The sequence below is a fragment of the Homo sapiens genome, chromosome 1 (genome assembly GCF_000001405.40).
Source record: "Homo sapiens chromosome 1, GRCh38.p14 Primary Assembly".
Taxonomy (NCBI): Eukaryota; Metazoa; Chordata; class Mammalia; order Primates; family Hominidae; genus Homo; species Homo sapiens.
This window is the reverse complement of record NC_000001.11, coordinates 160,172,303-160,189,358: the sequence shown is the minus strand read 5'-3', so window position 1 is coordinate 160,189,358 and position 17,056 is coordinate 160,172,303. Positions and strand designations below refer to the sequence as shown.

Genomic DNA, 17,056 nt, shown 5'->3' with positions numbered 1-17,056 from the left:
GGAAGGATCCTCTTCATGGCCCTCCAGGGTTCTTACTATGCACAGGTAAACTGAGGCATGAGGGAGACCATAGAGGGTCAGATCAAAGTCACATGCTGCCACTGCACCCTGAGGTATCTCTGATTCTAGAGGGACAGTGGTGTTTTTTTTGTTTTGTTTTGCATCCAGGGAGGGTCATGTAATTATGTTAGCAGAATAACTTTTCCACATGTCTGTGTGGTGGACCTTACACAGCTGAACACGGAAGGCCACAGAAAATCTCAAAAGCATGGCAGGAGTGAGGCCAAGAGGGACAGCTGTCACTGTAGCAGGAGAGGTTGGAGCTAGCCTAAGCACAGCACGTTGGAGCTGAAGAGACCTCAGAAGCCCATATCCTGGTCTCCCTGAAGAGTGGCTAACGTGGGAAAGCCCCAAGGCCAGAGCAAAGGCAGCCAGGTGAGATGGGGAGGCCTGCCCAGAAGCAGATGATCTAGGTGATGTCCAGCCCTGATTTCTCACTTCTGCATTCCAGGGGAGGCGGGAGACACTGGGACAGAGACGCTGGAGCATAAAACTTGTTCCATCTTGAATCTGACCTTTTGTACCCCCAAGAGTATGAGATGGGACTCTGGTGGCGAGTCTGTTCCATCTCCTGGTCCTTTCCTACAGCTACCGGACATTGCCATCCATCCCGTTCCCTCTCGTTGCCCTCTCTGGCTCCAGTCCCACCCTTCCCCTTTCCAGCGCCCGCCCCCACTGCTCTCTCTTGATGCTTCACTCTGTCTACTTTCTACTCAGTCTCCTTCCCTTCAGGCCCTTGGACTTGAGAAGCCTCAGCCACTGGTATCAAATGACCGTGAGTTGGGGCCTCTGTATTTTTAACCCACCAGACACCTGAAGCTCCTGCTACTGAAACCTGAGGAGCTGGCCCCTCTGTGCTCCTGCTTCCCACCTCACTCACATATACCCTGGCCCACTGATCTTCCAGGGTCTGGTTCAGCGATGTCAGCAATTGGGGAAGGACCCCAGGCTGATATAGCACTGTTCCTAGGAGACCTTGTGATGGAAGAGGGAGGAGAAGAGGGAGAGAGACCTCTGAGGAGGGGCCTGATGTAGGGAAAATGGCGGGCGATACTCACGATGGCCTTCTCTTTGCTAGCTCATGGCCTCTCATCCTCCAGACCCACCCCGGGTCCTTCCCCATCACTAGCCTATTTTTTTTGTTTGCTTTGTTTTGTTTTTGTGTATTTTTGGCCCAGCCCTCACTGAAAGACTAGTCTGAAAGTGATTAAGGGCCCACGTTCTGAAAATGGACAGACCTTGGTTTCTTCTTGGGTAACATGGAGTGGGTGGTAGGGAAACATTTATGTGACTTTCTTGATGGTGTGTATATAAAACCCTCGTCCCAGTGTTAGGTGTAGTGTGCAGACACCTAGTACATATGTGTTTTGTTGTGGAAATAGCTGATGGTGTTCCCCTAGCTTTCGTTAGCATTTCTCTTCCACCCTGTACACATTTGGGAACAGCCAATGCTCTACTCTGAAAGAGGCCTGAGAATGAACTGACCCACATGGCACAGTGGAGGGGCTCACAGAGCAAAAGTGAATGAGCGGGTGAAGGGGAAGGAAGAAATGCTGAGACGAAGGTGGGCAGGAGAGAAAGGCCCTCCACGAGTTTTCACTCATCTGAGAATGCACCTGGGCCCAGGCACAGAGGCCAGGCTCTTGGGAAAGTCCATCACCCCGTGCAGAGCAGGGGCGGCTGCTTCACAGTAAAGGCCACAGGGATTCAGAAAGTCTTGTTACAGCCTCTATCTCAAGGCTACACCAGAGAAAACAGGCCGAGGGCCAGAATGGGGTTGAGGAGCCCTGATGACCGAGGGTAGAGGGCAGGGACCACCAGTATGCCTGGAGACTGTCCTTCCTACCTGTCCCTTTCTCAGATGAGGGACAACACTCAGCACATGGCCATTCCCAAGTCATTTAACCTCTCTGGACTTCAGGCTTTTCACTGATGCAATCTGATCTCTTCTAGCACCACAGCGCTGTGGTCTGCAAGCTGGTCTCAGGAACTGCAAGGTGGGGTCAGATGACTCCACCCCACCTACCCCCTGTGCGGATGCTGTGGACCCTCTTCCCACGTGTGACTTAGCTGCTCCTCTCTCCCCCACCTTCCATTTCTCTGATCTCAGCTGGAATTTTGAGGCAGTCATTTGCCCTGTCCTTGCTGTCCAGTGGCTCGGAGAGTGACTTTAAAGGGCAAGGATGCTTGATACTGATCCTATCCCAGCCTTGACTCTGGTCCTTAAAACACTTCCCCAGCCTGGTCATCATGAAGACCTGTGGAGGGAGCTTCACAGTAATCCCCACTCCCCCAAGATCAGATTTGACACATCCAGCTGGTGAGGGCTTTTCCAGACATTTACTGTCTAGACTGGCTACGGGATTCAGCAGGACCATGCCCCTCCCTGCGGGGCTCCAGCTAGATGCAGGCTGGGCTTCCCTTCAGCCCACCTCATCCTCTGCCCATGATTCCCTCAAGCCAGCCCAGGATTGCCCATCTTTCTCATCCAAGATAATTCATCCTAGTGTCTCAGATGTTGTGTCAAACTTATAATCTCTGGCCCCATCCCAGCTCTCACAACACCCCTGTGTCACATGAAGCTCTTCATCTGCTGAGTTTAGTAGTACGTCTCCCTTTCCACCCAGCCTGTGGAAGAGAAGAGGCCAGCGTGAACTGGGAGAAGGAATTAGAGGCATCCAGGGGAGACAGGCAGAAGGGAAAGCAGGGACAAGGTTGGAGGTGGGAGGTCTGGAACACAGGGCACTGAGGGTCAGATGGAGCAGAGGGGTGCAGCCAAGGGGTAGAGAGGTCTCGGCTCCAGGCGCAGTCAAGGCTGGCAGCGAGGAGGGGAGAAAGTCAGTGGTGGGTCTGGAGGGACTAGGTGGGATGGGAGAGCTAGTGAGGGGGCTGGTGACCACTCAGTCAGAGCGGGGCCCAGGGGAGCCTCACCATCCGGGTGCTGACGGATGAGGAGTTTTCTGATTTCATCATAGACGAAGATGAGAATACTGTAGGGAATGGCACAGAGCCACCAGGTTATCCTGTAGAGAGCAAGAGCCAGTCAGCATGGCAGGAGAGAGAGATGCCAGAGGACAGGTGCAGAGGGCAATGCACAGGAATTGCACGTTTCATTGCTTGTGTCTACTGTGTGCGTGGGACTGTGCTGGGTGCTGGAGACAGTGCAGTTGAATAAGATCTGGTTGATCCCTTTTTTTTTTTTTTTTTTTTTTGCGACAGAGTCTTGTTCTGTTGCCCAGGCTGGAGTGCAATCTCGGCTCACTGCAACCTCTGCCTCCCGGATTTAAGCGATTCTCATGCCTTAGCCTCCTGAGTAGCTGAGATTACAGGTGTGCACCACCACGCCCAGCTAATTTTTTGCAATTTTTTTTTTTTTTTTTGAGACGGAGTCTCACTCTGTCACCCAGGCTGGAGTGCAGTGGCTTGATCTCGGCTCACTGCAAACTCTGCCTCCCAGGTTCAAGTGATTCTCCTGCCTCAGCCTCCTGAGTAGCTGGGACTACAGGCGCCTTCCACCATGCCCGGCTAATTTTTGTATTTTTAGTAGAGGCGGGGTTTCACTGTGTTGGTCAGGATGGTCTCGAACTCCAGACCTTGTGATCCGCCTGCCTCCACCTCCCAGAGTGCTGGGATTATAAGTGTGAGCCACCATGCCTGGCCAAATTTTGTATTTTTAGGAGAGATGGGGTTTCGCCATGTTGCCCAGACCGGTCTTGAACTCTTGAGCTCAGGCAGTCCACCCGCCTCAGCCTCCCAAAGTGCTAGGATTATAGGCATGAGCCATCGTGCCCGGCCTGAGCCCTACCTTTGAGGAGGTCAAATCCTGTGGGATTAGTGATCGGGAGTGGAGAGGAGAGGCACGAGACAGAAACATAAAGAGCCAGTGATAGCCAGGCATGATGGCTCACACTTGTAATCCCAGCACTTTGGGAGGCCGAGGCAGATGGATCACGAGGTCAGGAGTTTGAGACCAGCCTGACCAACATGGTGAAACGCCGTCTCTACTAAAAATACAAAAATTAGCGGGGCATGGTGGCATGCGCCTGTAATCCCAGCTACTCAGGAGGCTGAGGCAGGAGAATTACTTGAACCCGGGAGGCGGAGGTTGCAGTGAGCTGAGATCGCACCACTGCACTCCAGCCTGGGCGACAGAGCGAGACCAAGACTTCGTCGGGAAAAAAAAAAAAAAAGCCAATGATGATATAATATGATAAATGTCATATTAGAAGTATATGCAATGTTCACAAGATTCTCTACCAACTTTTGTGGAGCCGCTGAGGGAGACCCCTGTGCTCTCTGCATACTCTAGGGCTTGTGCCCACAAAGGGGAGGGGTTGTCTGAGCAGGAGGGGTCTATCTGAGACATTTAGTGTGGGGATACTTTGTCGGCGAATATATTGATGCTTCTGTATTACAAAGATGGGGATATTGTTTTGTTTCTCAACCTCTTTTTATAATTAGACCAGGAAGATGGATTCTGGGGAGGGGTTGAATCAGGACAGCAGTTGTTCCCTTGGATGACAGAAGAAATGGCCTAGACCAGCACTGTCCAATAGAAATATAATGTGAGCCACATGTAAAATTTAATACTTTCTAGTAGCCACATTAACATAAGTAAAATGAAACAGATGAAATTAATTTTAATAATATTTTTATTTAACCCAATATATCAAAAACTGATATCAATATATCAGTTAAATATGTAATCAATATAAACATTATTTATTTTAATTACATTTAATGTTTTTTTTAGAGACAGGGACTTGCTCTGTCGTCCAGGCTGGAGTGCAGTGGTACAATCATAACTCACTGCAGTCTTGAACTCCTGGGCTCAAGCAATCCTACTGCCTCAGCCTCCTGAGTAGCTGGGACCGTCAGTGTGCACCGCTACACCTGGCTAAGTTTTAAATTTTTTTATTGAGACGATGTCTCACTTTGTTGTACAGGCTGGTCTTGAACTCCTGGCCTTAAGCGATCCCCCCACCTTGGCCTCCCAAAGTGCTGTGATTGGAGCCACTACACCCCCGCCTCAATATTAGCATTATCAAGGCCAGGTGCGGTGGCTCACGCATGTAATCCCAGCACTTTGGGAGGCAGAGGCAGGCGGATCACAAGGTCAGGAGTTCGAGACCAGCCTGACCAACATGAAGAAACCCCGTCTCTACTAAAAATACAAAAATTAGCTGGGTGTGGTGACGCGTGCCTGTAATCCCAGCTACTCAGGAGACTGAGGCAGGAGAATTGCTTGAACCAGCGGGGCGGAGTTTGCAGTGAGCCGAGATTGCGCTACTGCACTCCAGCCTGGGCAACAGAGTGACACTCCATCTCAAAAAAAAAAAAAAAAAGCATTATCAATAAGATATTTTACATTCTTCTTCTCAACCTAAGTCTTGGAAATTCAGTGAATATTTTTCACTGACAGAATGTTTGAACTCAGATACAAAATTATTTTCAACAGTTGAAGGGGAACGTAGTCCAACCAAAATAATGAAGTTATAATATAGAAAAACATTACTTTAGTTTTTGACTTTGATTAAAATTAAATAAAATTACAAATTTACTTCCCCAGTCTCCCTAGTCTCATATGTCAAAAGCACAATAGTTGTATATGGATAGTGGCCACTGTATTGGACAGTACAAGCCTAGGCCATGGCTCATTCCACACACACACAAATATAAACATTTCTACACAAACAGCCACCCCACCCCTTCATTCAACAAACAATTGTTTTATGTACTCTGTGTCTGTGTTAGGTATTGGGGAAATAAAAATGATAACATGTTGGTCTCAAGTAGCTCTCAAGGAGCTCAGGGGAATCAGAGAAAAGAGGGTGAACACACACACACACAGAATACAGAATCGCAAGATTAGGTGCTAAGTTTTATGGTTAATGTGTACACAGAGTGTTTGAAAGCACAGATAATACCAACCACATTTGTTATTATGTCTATAATGGCATTAATAACAGCAAGAATAAAGCTACTAGTAACAAGGCATCTACCATGACCTAAGCATGCTTGGTGCTTTATGCCCATTTCTACGTGTAAATCTCACAACACTCTGCAAGGTCTATCCCTGGAGTGTATTATTGAGACTTTGCAGGTGTAGCTGAGGCTCAGAATGGTTCCATACTTGTCCAAGGCCACAGAATAATACATAGTAGAGTTGAGATTTCCACCTTGGATTGTGAGTGTCTAAGGCCAGTGCCAATGTCTCCTATTAAACATTAATTGAGTGCCTACATTGTATAAAACATCGTGTAAAACATTACAAGGGATGGAAAGGTGAGCAGAGTAGAGACATGCATAGAAATGTGTTGGAAGAAGGCCGGATGTGGTGGCTCATGCCTGTAATCCCAGCACTTTGGGAGGCACAGGCAGGTGGATCACCTGAGGTCAGGAGTTCGAGACCATCCTGGCCAACATGGTGAAACCACGTCTCTACTAAAAATACAAAAAATTAGCCCGGCATGGTGGCGGGTGCCTGTAATCCCAGCTGCTTGGAAGGCTGAAGCAGGAGAATCACTTGAACCTGGGAGGCAGAGGTTGCAGTAAGCCGAGAATGCGCCATTTCACTCCAGCCTGGGCAGTAAGAGCAAAACTCCATCTCAAAATAAAAAATAAAATAAAATAAAGAAATGTGTTGGAAGAATACATACTAAATCCTTAACTGAGGCTACCTATGCAAGTTGGGTTGGGTAATGGGGATGGGAGTGGAATGGAACATTTGCTTTTTTCTCTGTACATTTTTAAATATAAATTTTTCCACATCAAGCATATACTAATGTTAATGCAAAGCAAAACAAAGCAAAAACCTGGAGTTGAACAAGACAAGGCACCAGACAATAAGAATTTCAGTAGGCACGATCACATACATATACATTAAAACATATTTGCATAAGTACAACAGAATTAGCTAAGCATAGATTAGGCTATTTTTATGGTTACTTCAGCTCCAAGCAATATGTATCCTTGGACAACTACAGCACACATCATCACGAAAAAGATTTCACTCTGTTAAACACTGGTAAGTCTGCTAAATTTGTGTGTCTAGTGGGTTGTGATCATTTGGCACAGTCTCTAATATCTCCCTAAATAAGATCCACTTATCAGAGCACAGATGACTCTCCTTGTATCACTGAGTGTACATGTAGCTCCATGTATCCAGGCAGCTCCTGGCTCATGACAATCCTAGTGAAACACACCCTTCCTCTGTATGCTCCCCCGTGCCTGCACATCCCCTGCTTGCATCCCTTCCCTTACTCACTTGAGTGGGTACATTCGCAGGGCCACGTCCATGCCTGGAGTGTAGGACAGAAATGCAGCCAAGAGTGTCTCCTCCAGGATCCCAAATATTAAGACTTTGTTTCTGGGAAGAAACATTCATGGGTGTGGCGGGGAGGGAGAAGAAAAGGCAGGGGGAAATGGCATGTCCTGGTGTGTGGGGCTTGGGAGAGTGCTGGGCTGTTTTGTGAGATGTTCACCTCATGCCCTGCTGGAAAAGTGAGTTGCGGCGAGTCTTGGAGATGATGAGATCCGCCCACTGCACAACCACGATGGTGACAAAAAAGGCCGTTTGGCATGTGAACTCCACAACTTTTCGTTGCTCATAGGTCTAGAGACAGCAGGGAGAGAGGAAACAGTGTCAGAAGGGGATTCTGTACACCCTAAGGCTTCTTTCCTCTCCCACCTTCCAGGACCCCTGGGCTGAGTCAGGTCCTCATTCTTTTTTTTTTTTTTTTTGAGACTAAGTCTCGCTCTTGTTGCCTAGGCTGGAGTGCAATGGTGTGGTCTCTGCTTACTGCAACCTCCGCCTCTGGGGTTCAAGCAATTCTCCTGCCTCAGCCTCCCGAGTAGCTGGGACTACAGGCGCCTGCCACCACACCCAGCTAATTTTTGTGTATTTTTAGTAGAGACGGGGTTTCACCATATTGGCCAGACTGGTCTCGAACTCCTGACCTCAGGCGATCTGACCGCCTCTGCTTCCCAAAGTGCTGGGAATACAGGCGTGACTCACTGTGCCCGGCCAGGTCCTCACTCTTTAGACCCCACAGCACTTCACAGATGTCTCTGTTTTAGCGCTTTTCATGTTGTATCATGATTTGTTTATGTTTTCCTTGCCTGACTGAGAGCTTCTCAAGAACAAGCACTTGCCTTATTTAGCTTTATGTCCTCTCCCTGTGCTTAGTTCGGTGGATGGCATGTAGCATGGCTCAATAAATATGGATTGAATTAATAAGAAGGATAGGGTAAGAGAAGAAGGTGGAGTTAGAAAGGAAGGCAGGCTGGGCGTGTGGTGGCTCATGCCTGTAATCCCAGCACTTTGGGAGGCCGAGGTGGGCAGATCACGAGGTCAGGAGATCAAGACCATCCTGGCTAACACAATGAAACCCCGTCTCTACTAAAAATACAAAAAATTAGCCGGGCGTGGTGGCGGGTGCCTGTAGTCCCAGCTGCTCGGGAGGCTGAGGCGAGAGAATGGTGTGAACCCGGGAGGCGGAGCTTGTAGTGAGCCGAGATCATGCCACTGCACTCCAGCCTGGGCGACAGAGCGAGACTCCGTCTCAAAAAAAAAAAAAAAAAAAAAAAAAAAAAAAAAAAAAAGGGAAGAAGGCAGAGTCAGGGGATATAGGTCAGAAAGAAAGGATGGTGGGGCCAGAGGACAATGTGAGTACAGGGGGGAAAGAAATACCCCAAAGAGTGGTATCAGATAGGAGACATTCATTCATTCATTTGTTCTTTCATTCACACTTTACACTTAAGGAACTTAGAGTCTAGTGGGGAAAATAATTATGCTAACCATGTCAGCGCAATAGACAGGTTATGAGAGAGAGACTGCAGAGGGCTATGGGAACACAGAAGGGGTGCATCTAAATTAGACTGGAGAGAAAAAGCTTCTGTTTTAAAAACTAAAGCAGCATGTTTATCAACAACTCGTAGATCCAATAAATTTGAAAACAGGTAGGACCGCACAATAATGAAATACTACATATCAAACCCCACGGGATGTGGCAAAGTGGTACTTGGAGAGGAATGTAGAGCCTTAAACGGTAGAACACAAAGGCTGGAAATTGATGAGCCGAGCATGGAACTTAGAATAAGACCAATCAGTCAGTTGCCGTTACCCGCGTCACTCCCTATCATTTCTTGAAGATTTTAGCTTCTGACACTGTTACTCCACGATTACTTCTGTCCTTGTTTTTGGAGATTGAATTGTCCATGTTGATGATCCTTCCAATGCCGTGGTCTCACAGTTCCTTGATCTCCTCCAATGATGTTGTCCTGTACTCCCCACCTGGGCTGCTTGCTCCCATCCTTAAACTCTAGATATTATCCTTTCCAATACCTATTATTTCTCTGTAATTTCAAGCATCTTTCTCTCTCTGACTAGCATTTTTATAATTCCATCTCACTCTAGTATTCTAGTTCCAACACTTCTTGGACCCCCTTGGACTTACAATATCTTGATTAAATATATTATATATTTGGTTATTATCTGTCTTCCCATCCCTAACTAGAAATAAGCTCCATGAGAGCAATAACTTGATGATTTTTGTTCACTATCATATCCCCAGGCCCTAGAACAGTACCTGGTACATAGAAGATGCTCAGTAAATATTGTCTGAATGAACAAATGAGTGAGGGAATCACTGGAATTAATGAAAGATATTTAGAAAGTAAGGAGCGATCCTTGCTTCTAGCAGTGCATCATGCACTTCCCGGGTGGGTGGCTCTATACCAGATTATCTGAAAATTACAGTCATAGAAGAGACACGGACACGCCTTTGTAGAGTTTGTTGCTCAGGGCAACTGTTCTCAACACATTTTTGTGACACTTCAAGATGTCTTCAATGTGCAGGGGGGAATTCTTAACTTTTTACCTCAAATTACTTTTAATTACCTTTAATTTATTGTCAGTAAATTTATGTTATGCTGCATCTTGGCAGCAGGGAGGAAGTATCAAGATGGAAAACAAGGGCTTGAGCTGGGAGTTGAGATGTTGGCAGGGTACACAGCAATGAGAACTTTGGGTGTCACTGGATCCTGCAGCAGTGTTAATAGCTGGGAATATTGACATCTGATGGCCTTACAGCCTCAGCTAATGGAAGCCAACTGTATGTGAGGGGCACCTTCCCAACAATTCAGATTTGAACACAATTTGAGAAACCTGCAATTGGCTTGGTTTGGAGACATCGTGGTGAAGTGGGAAAGTGCTGGGCAGGGATCTAGAGTCCAGAATTCAAGTCCAGCTCTTTTAGGGATTCACTGTGGGACTTTAAGCAAGTTACAGAATCTTCCTAGATCAGGTTCCTCATCTACAGAATGATGAAAATTTACTGTGTCCTCTATGACGCTACAATTCTAGCAATAATTGCTGTCACATGTCACATGACCCATTGTCTTAGAAATTGGGACAGGAGTATCACAGATACCAAAAAAGCATACCTACTAAAATTCTTAAACACATATTGTTGGGGAGAGGGCTTCAGTTTGAGCCTCATTCATCTTGGTTGTTAGAAAAGACAACTATAGAGAGGTATCCTCTAGGTTAAAAAGGTTTAGAATGATTAGGAAGGGATATACAAAGAAAATAGGTTTTCAGGGTTTTGTTTTTTTTTTTCTTTGAGACGGAGTCTCGCTCTGTTGCCAGGCTGGAGTACAGTGGTGCAATCTTGGCTCACTGCAATCTCCGCCTCCTGGGATCAAGTGATTCTCCTGCCTCAGCCTCCTGAGTAGCTGGGATTACAGGCACCCACGACCATACCCAGCTTATTTTTGTATTTTTAGTAGAGATGGGGTTTCACCATGTTGGCCAGGATGGTCTTGATCTCTTGACCTTGTAATCTGCCTGCCTCAGCCTCCCAAAGTGCTGGGATTACAGGCGTGAGTCACTGTGCCCAGCTGGTTTTCAAATTTTATATTTATTTATTTATTTATTTTTTGAGACAGAGTTTTACTCTTGTTGCCCAGGCTGCAGTGCAATGGCGTGATCTTGGCTCACTGCAAACTTTGCCCCCCGGGTTCAAGTGATTCTCCTGACTCAGCCTCCCGAGTGGTTGGGATTACAGGCATGCGCCACCACGCCCGGCTAATTTTGTATTTTTAGTAGAGACGGGGTATCTCCATGTTGGCCAGGATGGTCTCAACTCCCAACCTCAAGTGATCCGCCCACTTCGGCCTCCCAAAGTGCTGGGATTACAGGCGTGAGCCACTGCACCCTGCCTCAAATTTTAAATCATATCATTTGAACTCTCATGGAGGGAGAGTATAAGAGGAGAGGACCCAGCATTTATTTCTGGGGCAATCATGGTTGAAACCTGGGAAAAGAGAAACCGGCTCAGAAAAGTTGATATGACAAAGACTCCAAGGAGCCAAAGGACTCAGACAGGCAGGGCCAGACAACAGACAGGAGGAGCCAACCAGAATGAGCCTATGCTAAACAGAAGAGGATTTGCTGTTGTGGCTGAAGACTGAGGGCAAGTGTGAGAAGGCTCATACAGGACTGAAGAAAAGGCATCAGCTCTGTTTGTGTGGTGCTTCCCTTCTTCTCTCTTAAAAAATTTGCTGCACTCACTCTCCCCTGTCACTCTCACTCTTACTGGTCTCAGCTCCTACCTTATCCCTTCTACTCACCCACTGCTGTCCGTAGCTGTCCTCCAGGTCATTCAAGTATTTATCTTCCCAGTGGAGGCGGATGCCCAGCAGATCAACAGGCCTAAAACCATTCTCAGCCAGGATTACAAAGTAGGTAAAGAATCCAGCCAGAGCCTGGATCATCCCTGTGAATGACAGAGTTGCAGGACAGGGGAGCCTGGTTCAGAGAAGGGCCCCAAAAGGTAGGCCAGGGGAGGGCTGGGGGCTGGGACTTGCTTCTGGCTGGGCTGGTGTGTGTCTGAAGAGTAATGCGGAAGAATCTTGCCATCAGCTGCCTAAGCCTGTTATCTCTCATCTCTGTGGGACTTTCCTTCAAGCCCTGACATTTGTTTCTAAACTCTGACCCAGAGTCAGCTTTGAATCACATGGTCTTAAAACTAAAAAGGACTTTAGAGGCCACTGATTCCCTCTCCCAATTTTTTCTTTTGAGACAGGATCTTACTCTGTTCATCACTCACCCTATTTTCTGAAATACCATTGCACCTGGAAAATCAAGAACAAAGACTTCTAATGACTCTCAAATGTCTGTCAAGGCTGACCCCAACACAAATGATATCTCTGTCTACAGTCTTATTTTTCACTACTTTATAAAGACTAAGGGCTCTACCAACCTGGTTTATTCAGTCTTCTTTAACTGTGCCATCTGAAATTCCCCACTCCTTTGGTCTCCCACACCTGACCATACACTTACTAGTCTAAGCCCCACTCTCCCACACCAAGTTTAAGTCCTATTTCCTGCATAAGGCCTCTCTGGCTATCCTCATAATGGTGAGCCTGCTTGCTTTGTAATCCTGTAGTATGTTCTGTCTATACTCATTACTTGGCACTTGGAGATGCTATCATTTTATGTATGTTTGTTCCTTTTGTACTGGACTCTAAGTCAAGGACAGATCAGAGATGAGTGGTTCTTTGTGTTTTCAGGGCCTAGCACAGTTTGTTGCTGAGAAAATATCTCCCTGACTTCCAAACTGAGATGGCTCACGTTGCCAGGCAGGGGAAACCACTCCCTGCTCCCTCCACCCCTCATTCCTCTGGGCGCACCAATCTGTCCATAGGCCATGCCAATGAGACGGTGGTTCACCAGATTATCCGTCTTTGGGTTCCTTGGAAGCCTCTTCATGATGTCGCTTTCAGCTGACTCATAAGCCAAGGAGATGGCAGGGACCTGGAGGATGGAGGGTGGGGATGACAGGGGTCACAAAGTTCAGAAGGAAACCCAGCAGTAATTCAAGCTCTACCATTCTGTCTTGACGCAGCCTCAATCCATCTTGCAGGAGGTGCGAGAGCTGGATCATAAGTGGGTTGTCATGAGTTTTAGTAAGATAGCTCCAGGCAGAAAGCAGGGAGCTTAGGAGGCAGAATTCTGGGAATCTCTTGCTCACCAGCTTGGCCCTTACCATGTCAGTGCCGAGATCAATGCAGAGGATGGTTATGGTTCCCAGAGGCAGGGGTATACCGAGGATGATGAACATCAGGAAGGGCGTGATCTCGGGGATGTTGCTGGTCAGGGTGTACATGATGGATTTCTTCAGGTTGTCAAAGATCAGGCGGCCTGGGGAGGAAGGTCAACCTCCTGTGAGAAGCCCTGGGAGAACACGCCTCCCTCAAACCAGCTCCGGGACAGACAGGCCACCTCAAAGAAGTGTCACAGTCCAGGAAAGGGTCTGGAGGTCCTAGACCTCCAGGGTCCCAGTATTGTTTCTAAATTGTGTGCCTTTTAATCAGAGCCATGCCGTCTGTGTACTGTTTGTTCTTAGATTCACCCTAGCTAACGTTATCTGATCTCTGAAAATTAGCAGGGTTGGGCCTGGTTAATCCTGCGATGTTTGAGAATGTCAGTATAAAAGCCTTTACAAGATTAAGGCTGGAATGGAAACAGCCAGGGCTTGGGACAGGCTTGTGTTCAAATCCCATCTTCTGCCATAGCTAGCTGTGACCTTGGGCACCCTCACCTCCGTGAGCTTCATTCCTCCTGCCTTGCAAGATTGCTGCATCCGTCTCTGACTGCCTTTTCAAAGATCGAATCCCTCTCTGCACTCTCTGCTTGGTCTGTCCCATGGCACTTATCTTCTTTTAACATACTATATAATTTAATTATTTTATTGTTTGTCATCCCCACTAGAAATTAAGTTACACGAGGGCAGGGATTTGTGTCTTTGTTCTCCCTACTGTTGTATCCCCAGCATCAAGCATAGTGCCTCCCACATAGTCAGTGTTCAAACGAACTTATTGAATTGAGTGGATATAAAATACCAAGCAAAGTGTCAGGATTATACAAGGTTTCAATGAAATGGTAATCATGATTATGATGTGGATTGCCATATGTTTTAGTAAGATAGCTCCAGGCAGAAAGCAGGGAACCTGGAATGCAGAATTCTGGATCTCTCCTGTTCGCAGGAGGGCATTCTCTTCACAGTTCTCTGGGGAAGAGGGTGTGTAATTGGGCTCATGCAGTCAATTCACGGGTCAAGCTCCAGCTGATCCTGATGTGTCACCATTATTTAGGCAACAGGTTCCTAGGGGACCCTCCTAAAGATTGCAGCGCATGGAATAGTCCCAGGGGTGTGGCTACATCTTGGAACTGGCTGTGGGCCTACTTGAAGTCCAGTGAGAGGACAATGACGATATTATGTATACCAGAGTCTCAGTCTCCCTGATAGGAAAACAAAATGAATAAAAGGGACTTTTCTCCGATCTCATCAAAAGGGGTTGCAGATAGTGATGGTCTATGTACCAGCTGATCTAATTTGCAAAATTTTGTCTTACAGTGATTTTCTTCTGAGCCCGTACAGGCTCATGGAGGTTGGATGATGGGAAAACGGAAAGAGGGGATGTACACCAACCCCCACCTGAGTCCAGGGTTGAAGTCTCCACCATGGGCACCCTGCCTCCTCACCCTCCTCCACCCCCGTGACGATGGAGGCAAAGTTGTCATCCAGCAGGATCATGTCGGCTGCCTGCTTAGAGACGTCAGAGCCAGAGATGCCCATGGCAATGCCAATGTCAGCCTTCTTCAGCGCAGGGGAGTCGTTCACCCCGTCACCTGTCACGGCCACAACGGCTCCCTGAGGAAGTCCAGACAGAGAGAGTGAACAATTTATTGCATCAGATCCAGAACTAGTCCCAAAGATCAGTACGCTTTCTGCATCCCTTGTTTCCTGATGTAATCATGCTTGATTTAGGGCTCCCGTCCTTCTCCCACTCCTCCTGAGATATTTAAACTTTCAGGGAGCCCCAAACTGAAGGCCACCATGGAGGTTCCAGATGGGGTACTCTCTGGAGTCTCCTCTAGCCCAGCCCACATGTTCCTCTGCTTGGTTTGGGACGGGGCTAAGCCACAGGAGTTCTGCCAGTTTCCTTGGGGCTCCTTTTCGTTCCTTACCAGCCTCTGACATCCCTCGACAATGATGAGCTTCTGCTGAGGGGAGGTCCGAGCAAACACGATCTCAGGGTGGTTCTGGAGGATCTGATCAAGCTGCTTGGACTGTATGTCCTTCAGTTCTGCACCATGCACCACAATGGCTTTGGCAGCACTGAGGGAAAATAATTTCAAAAGGCTAGTTTTGAGTGTTGAGAATTCACCAGGGGTCTTGGTGCCCATCTTGACTATAGCTTCATTGCTTCTTCTTTCAACCTAGTCTCCTCACTTGTCCCTAGCCCTATATTGTCCCCAAATTGACACATCCTATTCCCTCCCCACACTTTTGCCAACCACTCCTCTCTTTACCTCTTTCTTCATCTTGCTTCCTTTGAAAACCCACTGACATATTCACTTTATTTTCCTATTATGTTTTACTTTGTAGTGTAAACCCCACACATCCTACCTATTGAAGGAGACTCCAAGAACTTTAGTAAAGTGGCATCTGGGTGGGGCAGGCTGGGGATGGAGGGAACATGGCAGATCTTGAGTTCTTTAGTGATCTCACCTGGCATCGACCTTGCTGATAGGGATCTTAAGCCGGGCAGCGACTTCCTCTGCCGTCTCAGTGCCTTCTGAGATGATGCCCACACCCTTGGCAATGGCCTTAGCTGTAATGGGATGATCTCCTGTTACCATGATCACCTGGGTTGGGAAGGAGAGGGAAGAGGAGCAGAATCATCTTCAGAGCCCGGATCCTTCATTTTTCTCCTCTGAGAACTGACAGACCACTGCTTTTTTCAACAAGGGTTTTAGTCGCTCATTCCCAAGAACTTGTGGTGTAGACCAAAAACCATGCTACTGTGATTTCAACCCTTGGGAGTGGGTCAAGACCATGAGACCATAAAACAGGACAATTTGGGTCCTAGATTTACCAGGAATAAGCCAGAGATTTGACTATATTCAGAATTTCATTTAATTGCTCCAGAAGCTATTCTGCTTCCTTAAGTGCAAAGACAGAAACACCTACACATAGAACAAGTGGTAATAAAGGAATGTCTGGAATAATCCATCTGCCTAGCAAAATTTCATCTAAGGCCCAGTGCATTGAAATTCTCACTCTACCTTTCTTCTTTCTGTGGCCTCACCCTGTGCCTTGGTTTCAGCTTGGTTTTGGATACCTGGTACCTAGTCCTGTCCCATTTCTACCCAAAGATGAATACCCAGGCCACGTGCTTTCACAGCATTCCGTTCCTGCCATATTTCAGCACTTGCCACACTTCTCTGTATGGTGATTGCCTGTTTATCTCTCTTCCCCACTGAACTGAGAGCTCTGCAAGGGTGGCTTCCTTGTAAAGTTTCCTGCCCTAGCACAATGCCTAGCACATAGTAAGCCATCAACAAATAATTACTGAATGAAGGAATGGAGGAATGATCACTACCTGGAAACCACTGCCCAGGGTTCCCAAGTCCCTCCCAGCACACATGGCCCAGACTGACCCTGGACAAACTGCCAACAGTCACAGGTCTAACATAAAGCCAGTTCCAACAGAGAACACCTAGTTCTCCTTAAATACCTCCAATCCCCCAAGTCTAGGAGCCAGAATACACAGGTAATCCAGAATGTAAGGTATGAGCACGGAAGGTGTCTATATCTAAGCTGTAAAGATGTATATGATGAGTCTTAGAATTTGACCTGGGAAACATGGGACACAGAACACCTCAGAATTTGAAGAATTCTACTGCTGCCATCCCATGAAGTTCAAGGCCCACCCTGACCAAAGAGGATTTTCTACCTCTGGGTTTGTTCTGAAGCTGAACTTTCACTCTTGCTCTGACCGATTTTTGGTTTCCAGTTTTTAGACCTGGGCATATACCTCTTAGGGCAGCTGCTCACACCCATTGAAGATCCTTCAGCTCTCAATATCTCATTCTCACTATTGCCTGGTCCAGAGCCCCAGGCCTCCTAGCCTCACCCTTTTA

The 17,056-nt window shown here is 47.2% G+C and overlaps 1 protein-coding gene across 3 annotated transcripts in view, besides 1 other annotated feature; it reads right to left on the bottom strand.

Moving 5' to 3' along the window:
- ATP1A4 (ATPase Na+/K+ transporting subunit alpha 4) overlaps nt 2,379-17,056 on the bottom strand; it is a 35,378-nt gene continuing 20,700 nt past the window's right edge. For 2 of the 3 annotated variants that reach the window (NM_144699.4, XM_011509582.2), the window contains 10 exons: nt 15,642-15,778; nt 15,098-15,248; nt 14,612-14,780; nt 13,113-13,267; nt 12,757-12,880; nt 11,695-11,840; nt 7,545-7,675; nt 7,328-7,429; nt 2,992-3,083; nt 2,379-2,688 (listed from right to left, as the gene is read on the bottom strand). In NM_144699.4, coding sequence (NP_653300.2) covers nt 2,660-2,688; nt 2,992-3,083; nt 7,328-7,429; nt 7,545-7,675; nt 11,695-11,840; nt 12,757-12,880; nt 13,113-13,267; nt 14,612-14,780; nt 15,098-15,248; nt 15,642-15,778 — 1,236 coding nt within the window. In that variant the 3' untranslated portion in view covers nt 2,379-2,659. Of the gene's footprint in view, nt 2,689-2,991; nt 3,084-7,327; nt 7,430-7,544; nt 7,676-11,694; nt 11,956-12,756; nt 12,881-13,112; nt 13,268-14,611; nt 14,781-15,097; nt 15,249-15,641; nt 15,779-17,056 lie in introns of those variants that run through there. The other variant, NM_001001734.2, reaches the window with a different exon arrangement.
- Nucleotides 14,273-15,472: an enhancer, noted in NCBI's record as "CDK7 strongly-dependent group 2 enhancer chr1:160143677-160144876 (GRCh37/hg19 assembly coordinates)". NCBI's record gives its function as "activates an origin of replication core promoter dependent on BRD2, BRD4, P300/CBP, MED14 and CDK7 cofactors, with strong dependence on CDK7, by STARR-seq in HCT116 cells {active_cell/tissue: HCT116}" and the evidence as "EXISTENCE:reporter gene assay evidence [ECO:0000049][PMID:35650434]".